Raw genomic sequence first — 16,218 nt, forward strand, 5'->3', positions numbered from 1 at the left:
TTTGTAGTTGGTGTTTGTTATTTATTGATTCTCCCTCCAAAGGGGCCTAAGCTCGACAAAACCGTTACAGTTGTCAGAACCCAGCCACAGGGCTCAGCCCCCTTCCCCCACGTCACGTCTGCATCACTACTGTGGGTGAGCCTGGACGGACGGGGGCTGGGGCTGCCCATGGCAGCGGCAAGGGATGCTTTCCAGAGACAGCCACCACGCAGGAGGGAGGATCACCCCAGGCAACCCAGACACGGGTGTTCACATGTGAGGCTGTGAGCTCCACATAGCACAAAGGAGGCTTGCTGACTTTGGGCGGCCATGTCTGCTGGGACCTGGGTGATCCAGTGCGTGCCACAGCCAGAAGCACCATTCCCTGCATATGGCCACTAGCCACCCTGGGGTGGGACAGCCTGTCTAGACAGACAGCACCTTGGGGGCTCCCCTGAGGGTCAGTGAGGGCCTGACCCCAGGCAGGACTGCGTGGACGCTGTTCTCCAGCCGGGACAGACCTGGCCTCCGCTGCCTTCTGCCCTACTGCATGGGCTCCCAGCCTGGCCCCGCACAAGCCTGGGTGTGATGCTGGGTGCTTCCAGGGCATCCGCCTCGCTTCTCTGCCTTTAAGGCACAAGCAAGGGGGGAAAACATCCCTCAGTGGCTCCCCATATCCGTGTAGGCCACGCTGGACTGCAAACCACTGGGTCATGAAATTAGGTTTGTAGGCCACAACCAGCCTTGTGTTATGAAACAGAAAACAGAAAACATGAGGACATGTAACATGTAAAAAAGGAAAGTACTTGTTCACAAAACTTTTGAGTTATGTGTGTGAGTGTGTAAGAACCAGATCAGACTGGAAAAAACTCTCTCCCACTGTGGGTTCACTGTCAACAAAACATCAGGCCAGCCAGTGTCTAGGCTGTCTCCTCAATTTCCCCAATAATGTGCCTCACATTCCTCACAGAAGCCTCCCAGGCTTCCTGCACATTCTGTGGCATTTCTCAGTGACCTAGAGGGATCTTTAAACCGCAACGAGCCTAAGTGGCTGAAAACCTCAGGAACGCCTGTCAGTGTCCCAGCAAGTTGAGTCTGAGTGACACATCTGAGTTTCCACTCCTGAGTGAGGAAGGCCTCGCTGCTAACACTCCCCTGGGGTGCGCCGAGAGGAAGCAGTGGGTGTGGGTGGGCGTCCCCAGGCTCAGTCCCTGAACACACATGCCGGGCGGGAGACCTGCCCTGAGGCTCGGCAGCCCCTCAGTGGGGTCTGCTGCTGGACTCCAAATGTGACCGTTTGCCAGAGGTCAGCATCCCAGGGTGGTCCCCTGGCTCAGAAAAGGTCCGCTTGTAGCTCCGCCCATTGGACCCTCCTCGGTGCCATTTGCAGATGTCACCATTCAGAATGTCCTGGATGTGCTGCACGATCAGGTTGATGGCAACTGCGCCAAGAGACAGACAAGCAGCGGGTTAGCCGCATCCATCCTCCGTGGAGACCGCCCCTCCCCGCAGCACTCGGCCAGGAGTGAGCGCCCAACCTCTGCCCTGAGGCACAGCCTGCGGCGAGGGGCATCGAGTCAAATCTCAGCAGACAGAAACATGCATCAGGACACAGCAAAATAAGACTTCTTAGCTTGGTCTTCCAGGAATTTATGTTAGAGTCTGCTTAAAGTACTTTCTGCTAACAGATTTGAATATACATATATATATGTTTTAAGAAACAGGTTCTTACTTTACTGCCTAGGCTGGAGTGCAGTGGCCCAATCACAGCTCACTGCAGCCTCAACCTCCCAGGCTCAAGCAATCCTCCCACCTCAGCCTCCTGAGTAGCTGGGACCAGAGGCACATGCCACCATGCCCAAATAATTTTATTTTTTGTAGAGATGGGGTTTTGCTATGTTCCCCAGGCTGTTGAACTCCTGGGCTCCAGTGATCCCCCTGCCTCAGCCTCCCAAAGTGCTGGGATTACCAGTGTGAGGCACCGCGCCCAGCTACATACATTTTTAAGCATATTTTAACCCTGTGCCGCAGATCAACACTGGCAGGCCGCGTGCGCAGGGGAGTGCTCAGTAACTGCACACTGGTGGAACTGTCCCTGCCTCAAGCTCTGGGAGGGGCGGGGGGACAGCCCAGCAGGCCAGCTTCTTACCCATATTGTCCACTCCTCGCGGGATGATCACATCGGCATACTTCTTTGTCTGTAAGGCACAAGGGGGGGTGTTCCTGTGAGGACTTTTCCTTCAAAGGTGATTTTAAGATGCTCAGAAACAGATGCAACAGCAGGAGGGGCGGCCCTGGGGTGCTCAGAGGTGCTGGTGTCATCGGCAAATGGGGGACACAGACTCAGTCATCAGCCAGGTGTGAGAGGCCATGATCCAAGAAGTGAGGCAGAAAGTGCAGCTGAGGCAGCCAAAAGAAAGTGCCTCTTCCAGTGTCCCCATTCCATCACAGAAGACAGCCCCCTTCCAGTGTTCCCACTCCATTACAGGAGACAGCTGGCTACGCTAACGACTCAATTCACTGGGCCAAGCTAAGTGTGGCACTTCTACAAAGTGTGACATTGTTCCTCTGGAATCATGAAGCTTCTGCAAATACCCTGGCACAGCAACAGGACAGCCGCCGCCGTGCATAATTACTGCAGGCAGAGACGCTGATGGTAACTTACTCCCTCATCCAACCACTCATTGGCTCAATGCTGACTCTCATTCCCTGTCAGATGCTCTGCTGCTGAGGAAGGACAAGGATGGAGATATATCAGGAAATGCAGGGCTGCTGGGGAGGGTCCGCAGCCAGATGGTGGGGGTTGGGGGGTGGCTTTAGGGAAGGGGAAGCAGCCTGGAGAACATGGCTGAATCAGACAAAGCTGAGGGAAGAGGGAGGGCAGGGTCTGGGCCGAAGGACGGAACTTGGAACGGTGCGTGCTGCTGGCGTGTGGATTTGGGTCAAGAAGGCGGCAGAAGAGACAAGCTGCAAGAGGCAGACAGGGACCAAGTCCTGGGGACAGCTGTGTCTGCAGTTGGTGGGACCCCATCTCATGAAAGCACGAGCGCAAGGGCGAGGGCTGCTTTCTATTCTAGTCTGATAGTCTGACGGGCTGGAGGAGTCCGGGAGAGCTGACAGGGGTCTTAACCGCCAGCAGGGATGGGCCTGAATACAGTTGGGAAATACCTACGGGGTCCAGGCAGAGGACTGCACAAGCCACTCAACATGAAGGTGAAGGAAAAGGAGGCTCAAGAACGGCTCTGGGTGGGGCTGGGGCCGGGTGCGGTGGCTCACGCCGGTGATCCCAGCACTTTGGGAGGCTGAGGTGGGTGGACTGCTTGAGGCCAGGAGTTTGAGACCAGCCCAGCCAACATGGCAAAACCCCGTCTGTGCAAAAAAAAAAAAAAAAGGAAAAATTAGCCAGGCGTGGTGGTGCGTGCCTGTAGTCTCTGGCTACTCAGGAGCCTGAGGTGGGAGGATCACTTGAGAGTGGAAGGTGGAGGCTGCAGTGAAGCAAGATCTCACCACTGCACTTGGGCCTGGGTGGCAGAGGGAGACCCTGTCTCAAAAAACAAGCAAGCAAACAAACCAACCAAAAACATCTCTGGGGCCTGGGCCCAGAACATAGCAGGTGACAGCACTTCCTCTACTCAGGTCGCTGAGGCAGATTTGATATCCAGAGTTTTACTGCGAATCACCTACTTTTTGCCAAATATCTTTCTGTGAATGAGAGACTAAAACAAGTTAACTTTACTTTTAAAATTATATTTTAGAAATTTCAGACAGCATGAATGCAAAAAAAAACAAAAGTTTTCTTTATATAGCAGCCAATAGGCCAGGCATAGTGGCTCACACCTGTAATCTCAGCACTTTGGGAAGCTGAGGTGGGAGGACCACTAGATCCCAGGAGATGGAGACCAGCCTGGGCAACACAGGGAGACCCCATCTCTACAAAAAATTTAAAAATTAACCGAGCATGGTGGTGCACGCCTGTGGGCCCAGCTACTCGGGTTGCTGAGGTGGAAGGATCGCTTGAGCTTAGGAGGTCAAGACTGCAGTGAGCTGTGATTGCACCACTGTACTCCAGCCTGGGCAACAGAGCAAGACTCTGCCTCATTAAAAATAAAATTTAAAAAAAGGCCAGGCACAGTGGCTCAATCCCAGCATTTTGGGAGGCCAAAGTGGGTGGGTCACTTGAGTCCAGGAGTTCGAGACCAGCCCAGCCAACATGGCAAAACCCCATCTCCACTAAAAATACAAAAATTAGCTGGGTGTGGTGGCGTACGCCTGTAATCCCAGCTACTCGGAAGGGTGAGACAGGAGAATTGCTTAAACTTGGGAGGTGGAGTTTGGAGTGAGCCGAGATCGTGCCATTGCACTCCACCCTAGACGACAAAAAGAGACCCTATCTCAAAAAAAAAAAAAGCAGCAGATAGAACTTACTTGTCCTACATTATCAAAGGCAGGAATCTTGGTTTCAGTTCCTTTGTGCTGTATTTTTACCTTAACAGGCAAAATGTTCCCGTGCAAAACACTCCCATTTGAGTAGAGCCACGAGTCCCACCAAGCCAGAAACACAAGATGGAGAAATGGAGAAAAGACAGGTGGGTGTGCAGCGGGGAGTTCCTGCTCTCTGCGAGCCAGCTGGGATCTGGGCACAGCGCTCACTCCAAGATTTCAGAGCACTGGCCCAGAGCAGCCTGGGGTCACAGACCCTGGAGGAGCAGCTCTGAAGCACCTTCTGAGGGCCAGATCCCGGCCTTGGCAGTGAACAGACTAAAGTGCTCCTGGGCTTCCCCACTCTGCGGGGAATAAGCACCCAGGACGTGTCAGATGATGGTAAGTGCCCCGGAAAAAGGAAGCAGGCAGAGAGGCTGGCGCTGGGTGCAGAGGGTTTTCAGTGTTGAATGGGGACGCTGGGCAAGGGCCTGAGGCAGGGAGGAAGCGGCCAGTGTGAATGTGGGGGAGATATGGGGCTTTTTTAGGCAGAGGGAGGAGCAGGCACAGAGAATGTTTTTACAGCTGAGAACTACTCCCAGGGTATGTGGCCATAATGAGCCAAATTCTTCTCCTTTTTTTCAATCAGATCACTGTCACCCAGCACTAAGCCCTCTCACAGTACTGGGTCCCATGTGTCCTTGTGAAAGGGGAAAATGGGCTCTGAAGCAGCGAGCACAGGTACCGGCAGGCAGAACTCCTCGAAGGCCGGCTTCACGAAGGTGGTGTACTGCGTCAGAATCTGCTCCAGGTCCCTCCCTCGGCGCACGTCCCGGAGAACTGCAGCGGCAAGGGGCAGGCGTGCTTCAGACCTCAGGACCTGCCGCCAGCCTCGGCCAGGCAGGCACGGAGGCCCGCGGCCGCCTTACCTCTTCGAGACAGCCTGACGTCGGAGTCGGTGTCCACGAAGAGGCGCAGGTGGAACATGTCCCGGATCTCCTGGCTGTAGAACACCAAGATGCCCTCAAACAGAACCACGTCCGCAGGGTAGACCACCGTGGTCTCTGGTAACCTGAGGGGCGCACGGGGAAAGGGGCTCTGCTGCAGACACAGGGTCTCCAGGCCACACACACAGTCAGCTTCCATTGCAGGGACACTGACTGTGGGAAGGGGTGGGGGACCCACAGAAACCAACCGGGGGAGGCCTGCCGCCAGGCAGGTCTGTGTGAGCCCGAGGGGACGTCCTAGCTGGCCCCTCTCCTCGGCCCTCCCTAGAACCACCTGCTTACCTTGAGTGTGTCACAAAATCATAGGTCGGCACCTCCACCGTTTTGCCCTCCACGATGTTCTTCAGAGTCCTGTGCATCAAATCATTATCAAAGGCATCTGCAGGGTTGGAGACAAAGGCAAGACAGGCAGATGCCCTCGTGCAGCGGACAGCAGGGAACCCTCTCTGCTCTGGGGTCAGCACAGCTGGGTGCTGGGGACACCGAGAACCCTAGCACAGGTAGACTAGGACTACGGCAGTGTATGTTTGGTAGCAACAGTGCCCTCTGCAGCCCTGCAGACCACAGGATGACCCTGTCCTTGCTGTTCTCGGGCTGTGCCACTGCCCAAGCTCTGTGCCCCTGAGATGCCGGAACACAGGGGTTTTCTGATCAGCTCTTCCTGGGAGGTGGGTAGGCTGGGCCTCTGCTTCTCTCTCTTTCTGGGACTAACTGGTTAGACTGCGGCTTTGCAGGCCTTCTTCCCACAAGTCCTTGGGAAAAGGCTGACCATGCCAGCCAGCCAGGGTGGAATCTTCTAGCAGTGGCAGGTGTCTCCCTGCCGCATCTGCCCGTTTACCTGGCCCGGAGCTTCAAGCCACCAGCACTAGTTTACCTACCGCCTCCCACACTGGCCTCTCTGAGGACTTTGCCCCAAAGCACGGGAGGGCACAGTGGGCAGAGGTGTGTGTGGAGGGCCCTAAAGGCCCCAACGTGGGAAGGGAAGATGGGAGGATTTCTCCAGGATCACAGTTGTGGCAGGGCAGGGCAGGGCTCCCCACAGTGCAACAGGCTTCCTGACTGGCTCCAACCACGCTCCTGGGGGGACACTCAGGGCCCAGAGAACTCAGCAAAGTTCCCCTGACTTCACTGTGCAGCCAACTCCACTGCAGGCTGCGTGGCGAGTTGGGGGAACAGCCCAAGCGGGTCTGCATCCATCCAACCTTGGGCCCAAGCGCAGCTGGTTAGCGGCCGCCCAGAATGGGGTCTGCCCTCCCCACATCGTTGGGCTCGCGATTTACCTGGATGGTCAAAATTGTACTGTCCTTTCAAGGCCTTGGCCTTCTGCTCTGCCGTCAGGACCTTGTAGAACCTGTCCTGGCTCAGGATGACCACCTTCCGCTGCCGCTGTTCCACCTCGTTCTGTCCCAGCAACTCCATGATCTTCTCACACACGGTCGACTGGAGACACAGAAGCGGGATTCCCGCCTGGAACCGCTCGTCCTGTGACAGGCACGGGGCCGGCTTCTGGAGACACTGACCCACCCGCCCCCTGGGGGGTATGCTCGGAAGGCGGGAGGACACCAACAGGTGTGGATGGTCTCAGCGGAAGGGCCGCGGGGGCCCAACGGGGTTAGCACGGACTTGGGGCTCCGAGGAGCCCGGCCGGCGGAGAGGCTGTGGGGGAGCCCCGAGGCCCAGCGCCCCAACCCCTCGCCCGCCCCAGCCCGCCCCGGCCCATCGCGGCCTGCAGCCCCTTCGCTCCCGCGCCCTGCCCCTGCCTGGCAGGGGGCCCCTCGGCCGGGGCTGGGGTCTCCTCTCTGGACCGGGCCGCCCGTAGGCACCGGCGAGAGGCGAGACCCCGGCCCGCTCGGCCCCTTACCTTCCCGCTGGCAGTGCCGCCGCTCACCCCTATCAGGAAGGGCCGCTGGTGCGGACGGTCGGCCTCCGGCGCGGGGCTCTCGCAGTCTTCGCCTCCCGCCGAAGCCATCTCGGCCTCCGCTCCCGCGCATCGGGTCCCCGCGCCCGCCCCTTCCCCAGGCCCGGCGCGCCCGCCCAGCGCCGAGGTCGGAGGCAACCGGAGCGATCACTTCCGGGAGGCGCGCGGGGCACGCCGGGAGTTGTAGTCCACCGGGGGGGGGGGGGCCGCGCATGCGTGAGGGTGCAGGGCCCGAGGCCGGCACACCAGGAGCGCCCGCGTCCCATTGCGCCGAAAGCTGGCTGGCAGGGACTGCTGCGCCCGGGCCTCGAGCCGGCTACAAGGTCTCAGACTCAAGTGGCCCGGAAGGTGCCCGTTCCGCACCCCGAGGCTGGGGCTGCGCCTTCGTCCGAGTGCTTGCCTCTGCCTCGCGCTGCCTCTGCGCCAGTCCCGGGCCCTCCCCCGGCCGCCCCCGGGCCTGGCCCCCTCCAGCCCAGGCTCCTCTTGGCCATCGAGGCCTCCGGACTGTCCGGACGCCTCCCACCCCACCCGCTGCTGGAGCCGTCGGGGCGCCCCGGAACGTGGCGGGGGCTGTCGCCTGATGACTTTAGGCTCGCGCCTACAGCGCGCCAAGGAGGCAGAGGCCCATGTGCCGGGTTCCATCCCTGCCGCCCCCCCGCTCCGTGCCTGGCACAGAGAACGTGACAGGCAAATTCTGATCCATTGAAATTATGGATTTCCAGCCGGGCGCGGTGGCTCACGCCTGTAATCCCAACACTTTTGGAGGCTGAGGCGGGTAGATCACGAGGTCAGGAGATCGAGACCATCCTGGCGAACACGGTGAAACCCCGCCTCTACTAAAAATGCAACAAATCAGCTGGGCGTGGTGGCGGGCGCCTGTAATCCCAGCTACTTGGGAGGCTGAGGCAGGAGAATCGCTTGAACCCGGGAGGTGGAGGTTGCAGTGAGCCGAGATGGTGCCACTGCACTCCAGCCTGGGCCACAGAGCAAGACTCCGTCTCAAAAATAAAAAAGAGAGAGAGATAGCTAAGGCTCGGGGCAGAGCATGCTTTTCATATACAAAACAGACAACCCCGGGCGGACGCGGTGGCTCACACCTGTAATCCCAGCACTTTGGGAGGCCGAGGCGGGTGGATCACGAGGTCAGGAGATCGAGACCATCCTGGCTAACATGGTGAAACCCCGTCTCTACTAAAAATACAAAAAATTAGCCGGGCATGGTGGCGGGCGCCTGTGGTCCCAGCTACTCGGGAGGCTGAGGCAGGAGAATGGTGTGAACCCGGGAGGTGGAGCTTGCAGTGAGCCAAGATCACGCTACTGCACTCCGGCCTGGGGGAAAGAGTGAGACTCTGTCTCAAAAAAAAAAAAAAAAAAAAAAAAGACCCCAAGTCTACAGCCCCAGCTACCTCCTTATCTAATTCTCGCCTTTGGAGGCAAGATTCTCCCTGCCCTAAGTCACCCAGGGCCAGGTATCAGGTGACTAGAGACCACTCTGCAGCCCAGAGCCTGCTAGAATTACTCAAACTAGCCAATTTTAAACTCTTTCCCTGCCCTGCCAGGCCTTTTCCATGGAAACCCCAAGAAAGCCTCAGGCCTGGGCTCTCCCCTCGCCCCTGCTTCTGCCTCCTGACCAAACCTGGGGTTCTCTACTGAGAACCGTGCATGGCATGGGTGCCCCTTCTCTCAGGAAATGCGATCAATCTTGCGATGGCTTTGGCCTCTCCTCATGGTCATTCAGCCGTACCTCTGTAAATTAAGCCCCAGGCACAGAACAGTGCCTAGCAAACAGCCACGCTGCTGGCTTAGATCTGTCCAGGTGTGTGTCCCAAAGGTGGCCATCCCCCAAGCCAACTTTGAATTTGTATCAAGGGAGAGTTAGACACGGTTTCTTGCCATTTCTTCCCCTGTGGTCCAGCCACGTAGCGAAAGGCAGGGAAACTAGCAGAGTCTGACCAGGGGCTGTCCCTGATACCCCTGGCCTGGGTCTCGTGTGCCCTCTCTGGTGACTGGCCACAAGGCATGGGCTGCCAGGGCCAGTCAGGCTATTGCGTGGTTCCGCTCCCAAGGCAAAGGGACGCTTTGGGAAGGAGCCACTCCCTGGGAGCAGGCCCAGCACCCAGGAAGCCCACAGTCCAGTAAACAAGGCCCGGGCCCACACGGCTCAGGCCTCTGGGCCACAGTGGCTCCCCTATGGGACCATCCCAACCACCACCAAGCAGAGGGCCAGCCCCAAACCTCTAGCTGGTCCCCAACTCCCCATATTGTGAAGAAGAGTGACTTTTATGGGTTTTTTTTGTTCGTTTTGAGACGGAATCTTGCTCTGTTGCCCAGGCTGGAGTGCAGTGGCATAATCTTGGCTTACCGCAACCTCCGCCTCCCGAGTTCAAGCAATTATCCTGCCTCAGCCTCCCCGAGTAGCTGGGACTACAGGCACCTGCCACCAGGCCCGACTAATTTTTGTATTTTTAGTATAGAGACAGGGTTTTGCCATGTTGCCCAGGCTGGTCTCGAACTCCTATTCACCTGCCTCAGCCTCCCAAAGTGCTGGGATTACAGGTGTGAGCCTCTGTGCCCAGCCGAAGAGTGTCCTTAAAGAAGCATGAGTCAGCCGGGTGCAGTGGTTCACGCCTGTAATCCCAGCACTCTGGGAGGCCGAGGCAGGCGGATCACTTGAGGTCAGGAGTTCGAGACCAGCCTGGCCAACATGGTGAAACTCCATCTCTACTAAAAATACAAAAATTGGCCGGGCACGGTGGCTCACGCCTGTAATCCCGGCACTCTGGGAGGCTGAGGCAGGCGACTCACGAGGTCAGGAGTTCAAGACTAGCCTGGCCAACATAGTGAAACCCCGTCTCTACTAAAAATACAAAAAATTAGCTGAGCACAGTGGCGGGCGCCTGTAATCCCAGCTACTCGGGAGGCTGAGGCAGGAGAATCGCTTGAACCTGGGAGGCGGAGATTGCAGTGAGCCGAGATCACGCCACTGCACTGCAGCCTGGGCAAAAATAAATAAATAAATAAGTAAATAAATAAGCCGAGCATGTTGGCATGCGCCTGTAATCACAGCTACTCAGGAGGCTGAGGCAGGAGAACTTGAACCCAGGAGGCAGAGGTTGCAATGAGCTGAGATCGTGCCACTGCACTTTTTTTTCTGTCTGCAAAAAAAGAAAAAAATAAAAACTAGCTGAGTGTGGTGGCATAGGCCTGTGGTCCCAGCTACTGGGGAGGCTGAGATGGGAGGATTGCTTGAGCTTGGGAGGCAGAGGTTGCATTGAAGAGAAATCGCGCCGCTGCGCTACAGCCTGGGTAACAGAGCGAGACCCTGTCTCCAAAAAAAAAAAAAAAAACAAAAAAACGTTGTTGCTGAATTGGGGGGTGGGGGTAGGTGGAGAGTTGGGTGGAGGCTTGGAGCCCTCGGAGTTTGGGTTTCCCAGAGCCAGGCAAGGCAGTACTCCTAAGAGTGACCACTGTCTACTCTGGATTCATTCTCTTACCTGCTCTCTGGTGCGGGATGTTGAAAATCGGGGAGGCTGTGCATGTGGGGGAGTGGGGAGTATATAGGAAATCTCTGCACCTTCTGCTCAATTTTTCTGTGAATCTAAAACTGCTCCCCCTGCCCCCTCAAACACATGCAGTACAGGAAACACCGCTCTCCATGGCTGCCCTCCTCCCTCCTCCTTCAAGCCACCCTAACCACTACAAAAATGTCAGCTCATGCCAAGCATGTCCTGAAGCTTTTATTGAACACTAGCTGGCTCTCAGCGCTTAAAGAGATAAGCAGGTGCCTGCTGTTTTAAGTATTGATTGCCCTTTTCCCTGTAATCATAAAAGTGACTCCTGCTGATTGCAGAAAATGTATACACACAAACACACAACCAAAACTAGAACCACCCCTTACTCCTCACCCAGGGAAAAGCATGGTTTTGAGTTCTGGGGTGTGCCCTTCTGGTCTGACATGGCTGTTCTAGATAACGGAACGAGAGGCTAAACAAGGTTTGGTGGTGTGGGTTTTTTTTTTGTTTGTTTGTTTTTCGAGACGGAATCTCACTTTGTCTCCCAGGCTGAAGTGCAGTGGCGCGATATTGGCTCACTGCAACCTCCACCTCCCAGGTTCAAGTGATTCGCCTGCCTCAGCCTCCTGAATAGCTGGGATTACAGGCGCCTGCCACCACGCCCGGCTAATATTGTATTTTTAGTAGAGATGGGGTTTCACCATGTTGGCCAGGCTGGTCTCAAACTCCTGACCCTCAGGTGATCCTCCTGCCTCGGCTTCCCAGAGTGCTAGGATTACAGGCCTGAGCCACCGTGCCCGGCCAGTTGCATATCTTAAATAGCATTAAAGCCTCACAGCCACCCTGCGATATGGGTACCATTGTGATACCATTTTCCTGATGGGTAAATTGAGAAACAGAGTGATTATGTGGCTTGCCCAAGGCTTGCAGCTGCAAGAGACCTCCGTCAAGTTGGCTGAGACAGCAGGTGTAGGAAGCCAACGCACATATTCACATATACACACTCGACACACACACAGAACTGCACCATCTCCCTGCTCAAAGACAAGACGGGGAAACATGACAGCCAGGCTCTTGGAATGAAGAAGGTCCCATAGCCAGTGGTTTGAAGCTGAGTTGCCTATAAAGGGTCCAGGACCAGGTATGTCTTAGGGGTGGGAGTCAAAGCCGCAGCTTCACACACAGCAGGAGGTTCTGGAACTGGCCCTCTGCAGACAGCTGGAGCCCAAGATGAGTTGCCCTTTTGTGAAACTAGAGAAACCAGTGCAGCACTCGAACTCTGGGTAAACGGAGTCATATCTAAGAATGTGGAGTCGGGGGCCTGCGCTACACCTGGGCCACCCACATGGGACAGAAACTCCAAGCTAACAAACTGACATAAAAATGGTTCAGACCAGGCATGGTGGCGCACACCTGTAATCCCAGCATTTTGGGAGGCTGAGGTGGGAGGATTGCTTGAGGCCAAGAGTTCAAGACCAGCCTGGGCAACATAGTGAGACCCTGTCTTTCTTTTTTTTGAGATGGAGTGTCACTGTGTCACCGAGGCTGGAGTGCAGTGGTGCAATCTCAGCTCACTGCAACCTCCGCCTCCCGGGTTCAAGCGATTCTCCTGCCTCAGACTCCCAAGTAGCTGGGATTACAGGCATGCTCTACCATGCCCGGCTAAGTTTTGTATTTTTAGTAGAGACAGGGTTTTGACATGTTGGCCAGGTTGGTCTCAAACTCCTGACCTCAGGTGATCTGCCCACCTCGGCCTCCCAAAGTGGTGGGATTACAGGTGTGAGCTACCGTGCCTGGCCAGCAAAACAAAACAAAACAAAAAACAAACAAACAAACAAAAAACCAGCTAGGTGTGGTGGTGGTGGCACATACTTATAGTCCCAGTTACTAGGGAGGCTGAGGTGGGAGGGTTGCTCAAGCCCAGGAGTTCAAGGCTGCAGTGAGCTATGATGGCATCACTGCACTCCAACCTGGGTGACAGAGACTCTGTCTTAAGAAAAGAAAAATAGGCCAGCCACAACTGGTGCACACATAGGAACCCCTCACAGAGACAAATGCGAAACTCTGATATTCCAGGGCACCAACATGGCACGTGCAGGATGCTTTTAGAAGACAATGCCTGCTGAAGATGAACTCACAGACAAAAATTACAAAGAGGGGGAAATCTGCCCCCTTGTAGAACAGTCAACAGGTGTCGACTAGTGATGAAATCACATCTGAGAAGATACAAATGATTCCATTTGAAAAGGACTTAAAAATAAGTCTGTTGGTCAGGCATGGTGGCTCATGCCTGTAATCCCAGCAGTTTGGGAGGCTGAGGTGGGTGGACCACTTGAGGTCAGCAGTTTGAGACCAGCCTGGCCAACATGGTGAAACCTCGTCTCTTCTGAAACACCAAAAATTAGCTGAGTGTCATGGCACATGCCTGTAATCCCAGCTACTCGGGGGTTTAGGCTAGAGAATCGCTTGAACCCAGGACGTGGAGATTGCAGTGAGCCGAGATCACACCACTGCACTCCAGCCTGGGCAACAAGAGTGAAACTCCATCTCAAAAAAACAACAACAAAAACAAAACAAAACAAAACAACAACAACAAAATATATATATACACACACATATATAGTCTATTAAAGTGTTTGAAGACCTGACAGCTAAATGCAACACGTAATCCTAGGATAGCAACAAATATGCTAGGAAAGAAAAGACATTCTTGAGTAATTTGACAAAATGGTAATACAGACAGTAGATTAGAGCAGTGGTCCCCAGGCTTTTTGGCACCAGGGACATGGAAGACAACTTTTCCACAGACTGGGTAGGGGGTGGGGGTGGGGGTGGGGGGCGGTTCTGGGATGATTCAAGTGTATTACATTTATTGTGCACTTTATTTATGTTATGATTACATTGGCATATATAATGAAATAATTATACAACTCACCTTGATGTAGAATCAGTGAGAGCCCTGAGTTTGTTTTCCTGCAACTGGGTGGTCCCATCTGGGGGTGATGAGAGACAATGACAGATCATCAGGCATTAGATTTTCTTAAGGAGCACGCAAGCCAGATCCGTCACATGCGCAGTTCACAACAGGGTTCACGGTCCTGTGAGAATCTAATGCTGCTGCTGAACTGCACATGTATTTATAGGAGACAGAGCTCGGGCAGTAACATGAGTGATGGGGACCTGCTGTAAATACAGGCAAAGCTTCACTCTCTTGCCCGCCACTCACCGCCTGCTATGCAGACCAGGGTTCGGGTCCGTGGCATCTAAAGGGTTGGTGACCCTTGGATTAGAGTGTATCTTATTGCACCAGTGTTCACGTCACTGAATTCGATAACCGTGCTGAGGTTATGTAAGAAAATATCCTTATTTTTAGGAAATGCACACAGTTATTTAGCGGTAAATCACCATGATATATGCTATTTATTCTCAAATATTCAGAAAAAAATTAAGTATATGTGCACGCATGTGTGCGTCTGTGTCTGTGTATGAACAGAGAGCATACAAATACCAAGCAAAGAGTGCAAAATGTGAGCCGCTGAGGGGTCTGTGCAAGGGCTACGGGGCGATGATGAGTCCGCTCCTGCCGCCGTCACAAAGTGCTACGGGCCGAGTGGCTTTGACAACAGAAATCTGTTTCCTCAGGGGCCGGGCACGGTGGCTCACGCCTGTAATCCCAGCAGTTTGGGAGGCCGAGGTGGGCGGATCATGAGGTCAGGAGATAGAGACCATCCTGGCTAACACGGTGAAAACCCGTCTCTACTAAAAATATAAAAAATTAGCCGGGCGTGGTGGTGGGCGCCTGTAGTCCCAGCTACTCGGGAGGCTGAGGCAGGAGAATGGTGTGAACCCGGGAGGTGGAGCTTGCAGTGAGCCGAGATCGCGCCACTGCACTCCAGCCTGGGTGACAGAGTGAGACTCCGTCTCAAAAAAGAAATGTATTTCCTCCCTGTTCTGCAGGTTAGAAGTCCAACGTCAAGGTGCAGGGTTGGTTTCCACGGAAGACGGCTGCTCCTCCCTCACTGACTCTTCATGCGGTTGTCACTGTGTCCGCACACCCCTGGGGTCTCTTCCCTCTTCAGCTTTTTTTTTTTTTTTTGAGACGGGGTCTCGCTCTGCCGCCAAGGCTAGAATGCAATGGCGTGATCTCGGCTCACTGCAACCTCCGCCTCCCAGGTTCAAGCGATTCTTCTGCCTCAGCCTCCCGAATAGCTGGGATTACAGGCACCCGCCATCACGCCCGGGGTTTCACCATGTTGGCCAGGCTGGTCTTGAACTCCTGACCTCAGGTGATCCGCCCGCCTCGGCCTCCCAAAGTGCTGGGATTACAGGCATGAGCCACTGTGCCCAGCCCCTTCCTCTTGTTTTTTTTTTTTTTTTTTTTTTTTTGAGACGGAGTCTTGCTCTGTCACCCAGGCTGGAGTGCAGTGGCACAATCTCGGCTCACTGCAACCCCTGCCACCTGGGTTCAAGCGATTCTCCTGCCTCAGCCTCCCGAGTAGCTGGGATTACAGGTGTGCACCACCACGCCTGGCTAATTTTTCTATTTTTAGTAGAGACAGGGTTTCGCTATGTTGCTCAGGTTGGTCTCAAACTCCTGACCTCAGGTAATCTGCCTGCCTCAGCCTCCCAAAGTGTTGGGATTACAGGCGTGAGCCACCGCGCCTGGCCTCTTCCTCTTCTTATAAGGACACCAGTCCTATTCAATTAGGATCCACGCTTATGAGCTCACTTAGCTTTCATCACCTCTGCAGAGGCTCTGTCTCCAAATACAGTCACACACTGAGGCACTGGGGGTTAGGACTTCAACATACGAACATGGCAGGGGACACAATATAGCCCATAACACACCAGGTGACATGGCTCTTCTTTCTACTATTCTTGCAACTTTTTCTATGAGTTTGAAATAATTAATAGAAGCCATTTGAGGAGAAAGCAAAGCAAAAAAACATTAAAGTTGTAGATTTTCATTTTATTTCTATATTTATTTTATGTTTTTAGAGACAGGATCTTGCCCTGTCACCCAGGCTGGAGTGCAGTGGCACGATCATAGCTCATTGCTAACCTCAATTTCCTGGGCTCAAGTGATCCTCCTGCCTCAGCTTCCTGAGTATCTGAGACCGCAGGTGGGTGCCACCACACCTGGCTCATTTTTAAATTTACTTTAGAGAAAGGGCCTTTCTATGTTGCCCAGGCTGGTCTTGAACTCCTGGCCTCAAGCAATCCTCCTGCCTCAGCCTCCCAAGTTGCTGGGATTAAAAATGTTAGCCACTGTGTCTGGCAAAAATTGTAGACTTTTTTAAAGAACCAAGTGAAAATTCTAATCATAAAAAATAAAGACATCAAAATGTTTTGTAGGGGCCTGTTGCAGTGGCTCATGCCTGTA

General features: G+C 54.5%; 1 protein-coding gene across 7 annotated transcripts, besides 6 other annotated features; it reads right to left on the bottom strand.

Moving 5' to 3' along the window:
* On the bottom strand, positions 1-7,463 carry UCK1 (uridine-cytidine kinase 1). Of its 7 annotated transcripts, NR_134666.2 has the most exons (8): positions 7,267-7,463; positions 6,686-6,887; positions 5,688-5,784; positions 5,328-5,470; positions 5,144-5,238; positions 2,645-2,703; positions 2,129-2,177; positions 1-1,421 (listed from the first exon to the last, which is right to left on the bottom strand). NR_134666.2 is itself a non-coding variant. In NM_001261450.3 (7 exons), exons 1-7 carry the CDS (start codon positions 7,372-7,374, stop codon positions 1,240-1,242), a joined length of 807 nt encoding a protein of 268 aa, NP_001248379.1. In that variant the 5' UTR covers positions 7,375-7,463; the 3' UTR covers positions 1-1,239. The 7 variants fall into 7 exon arrangements, 5 of the variants coding, with proteins under 5 accessions (NP_001248379.1, NP_001248380.1, NP_001305448.1 ...); NR_134667.2 differs by lacking the exon at positions 2,645-2,703 and having other exon boundaries at positions 5,688-5,756; positions 6,686-6,845; NM_001261450.3 differs by lacking the exon at positions 2,645-2,703 and having other exon boundaries at positions 6,686-6,845; positions 7,294-7,463.
* Positions 4,715-5,914: an enhancer, noted in NCBI's record as "BRD4-independent group 4 enhancer chr9:134403902-134405101 (GRCh37/hg19 assembly coordinates)". NCBI's record gives its function as "activates an origin of replication core promoter dependent on BRD2, P300/CBP, MED14 and CDK7 cofactors, and independent of BRD4, by STARR-seq in HCT116 cells {active_cell/tissue: HCT116}" and the evidence as "EXISTENCE:reporter gene assay evidence [ECO:0000049][PMID:35650434]".
* Positions 6,620-7,533: an enhancer, noted in NCBI's record as "OCT4-NANOG-H3K27ac-H3K4me1 hESC enhancer chr9:134405807-134406720 (GRCh37/hg19 assembly coordinates)". NCBI's record gives its function as "activates a minimal SCP1, AML or CMV promoter by ChIP-STARR-seq in primed H9 embryonic stem cells {active_cell/tissue: H9 hESC(primed)}" and the evidence as "EXISTENCE:reporter gene assay evidence [ECO:0000049][PMID:30033119]".
* Positions 6,620-7,558: a biological region, named in NCBI's record as "OCT4-NANOG-H3K27ac-H3K4me1 hESC enhancer GRCh37_chr9:134405807-134406720".
* Positions 6,949-6,998: a silencer, noted in NCBI's record as "silent region_20419". NCBI's record gives its function as "represses an Ori minimal core promoter by ATAC-STARR-seq in GM12878 lymphoblastoid cells {active_cell/tissue: GM12878}" and the evidence as "EXISTENCE:reporter gene assay evidence [ECO:0000049][PMID:35858748]".
* Positions 7,199-7,558: a silencer, noted in NCBI's record as "silent region_20420". NCBI's record gives its function as "represses an Ori minimal core promoter by ATAC-STARR-seq in GM12878 lymphoblastoid cells {active_cell/tissue: GM12878}" and the evidence as "EXISTENCE:reporter gene assay evidence [ECO:0000049][PMID:35858748]".
* Positions 7,699-7,868: a silencer, noted in NCBI's record as "silent region_20421". NCBI's record gives its function as "represses an Ori minimal core promoter by ATAC-STARR-seq in GM12878 lymphoblastoid cells {active_cell/tissue: GM12878}" and the evidence as "EXISTENCE:reporter gene assay evidence [ECO:0000049][PMID:35858748]".

The sequence above is a fragment of the Homo sapiens genome, chromosome 9 (assembly GCF_000001405.40).
Source record: "Homo sapiens chromosome 9, GRCh38.p14 Primary Assembly".
NCBI classification, from domain to species: domain Eukaryota; kingdom Metazoa; phylum Chordata; class Mammalia; order Primates; family Hominidae; genus Homo; species Homo sapiens.

Coding starts and splice junctions, on each gene's coding strand:
- UCK1 (NM_001261451.3), bottom strand. CDS start 7,374: ATGGCTTCGGCGGGAGGCGAAGACTGCGAGAGCCCCGCGCCGGAGGCC. Junction 6,888..7,293: donor AGCGGCCCTTCCTGATAGGG/GTGAGCGGCGGC, acceptor TGCCTGTCACAG/GACGAGCGGTTCCAGGCGGG. Junction 2,178..5,143: donor TCGAGGAGTTCTGCCTGCCG/GTACCTGTGCTC, acceptor TGTGCCTTACAG/ACAAAGAAGTATGCCGATGT.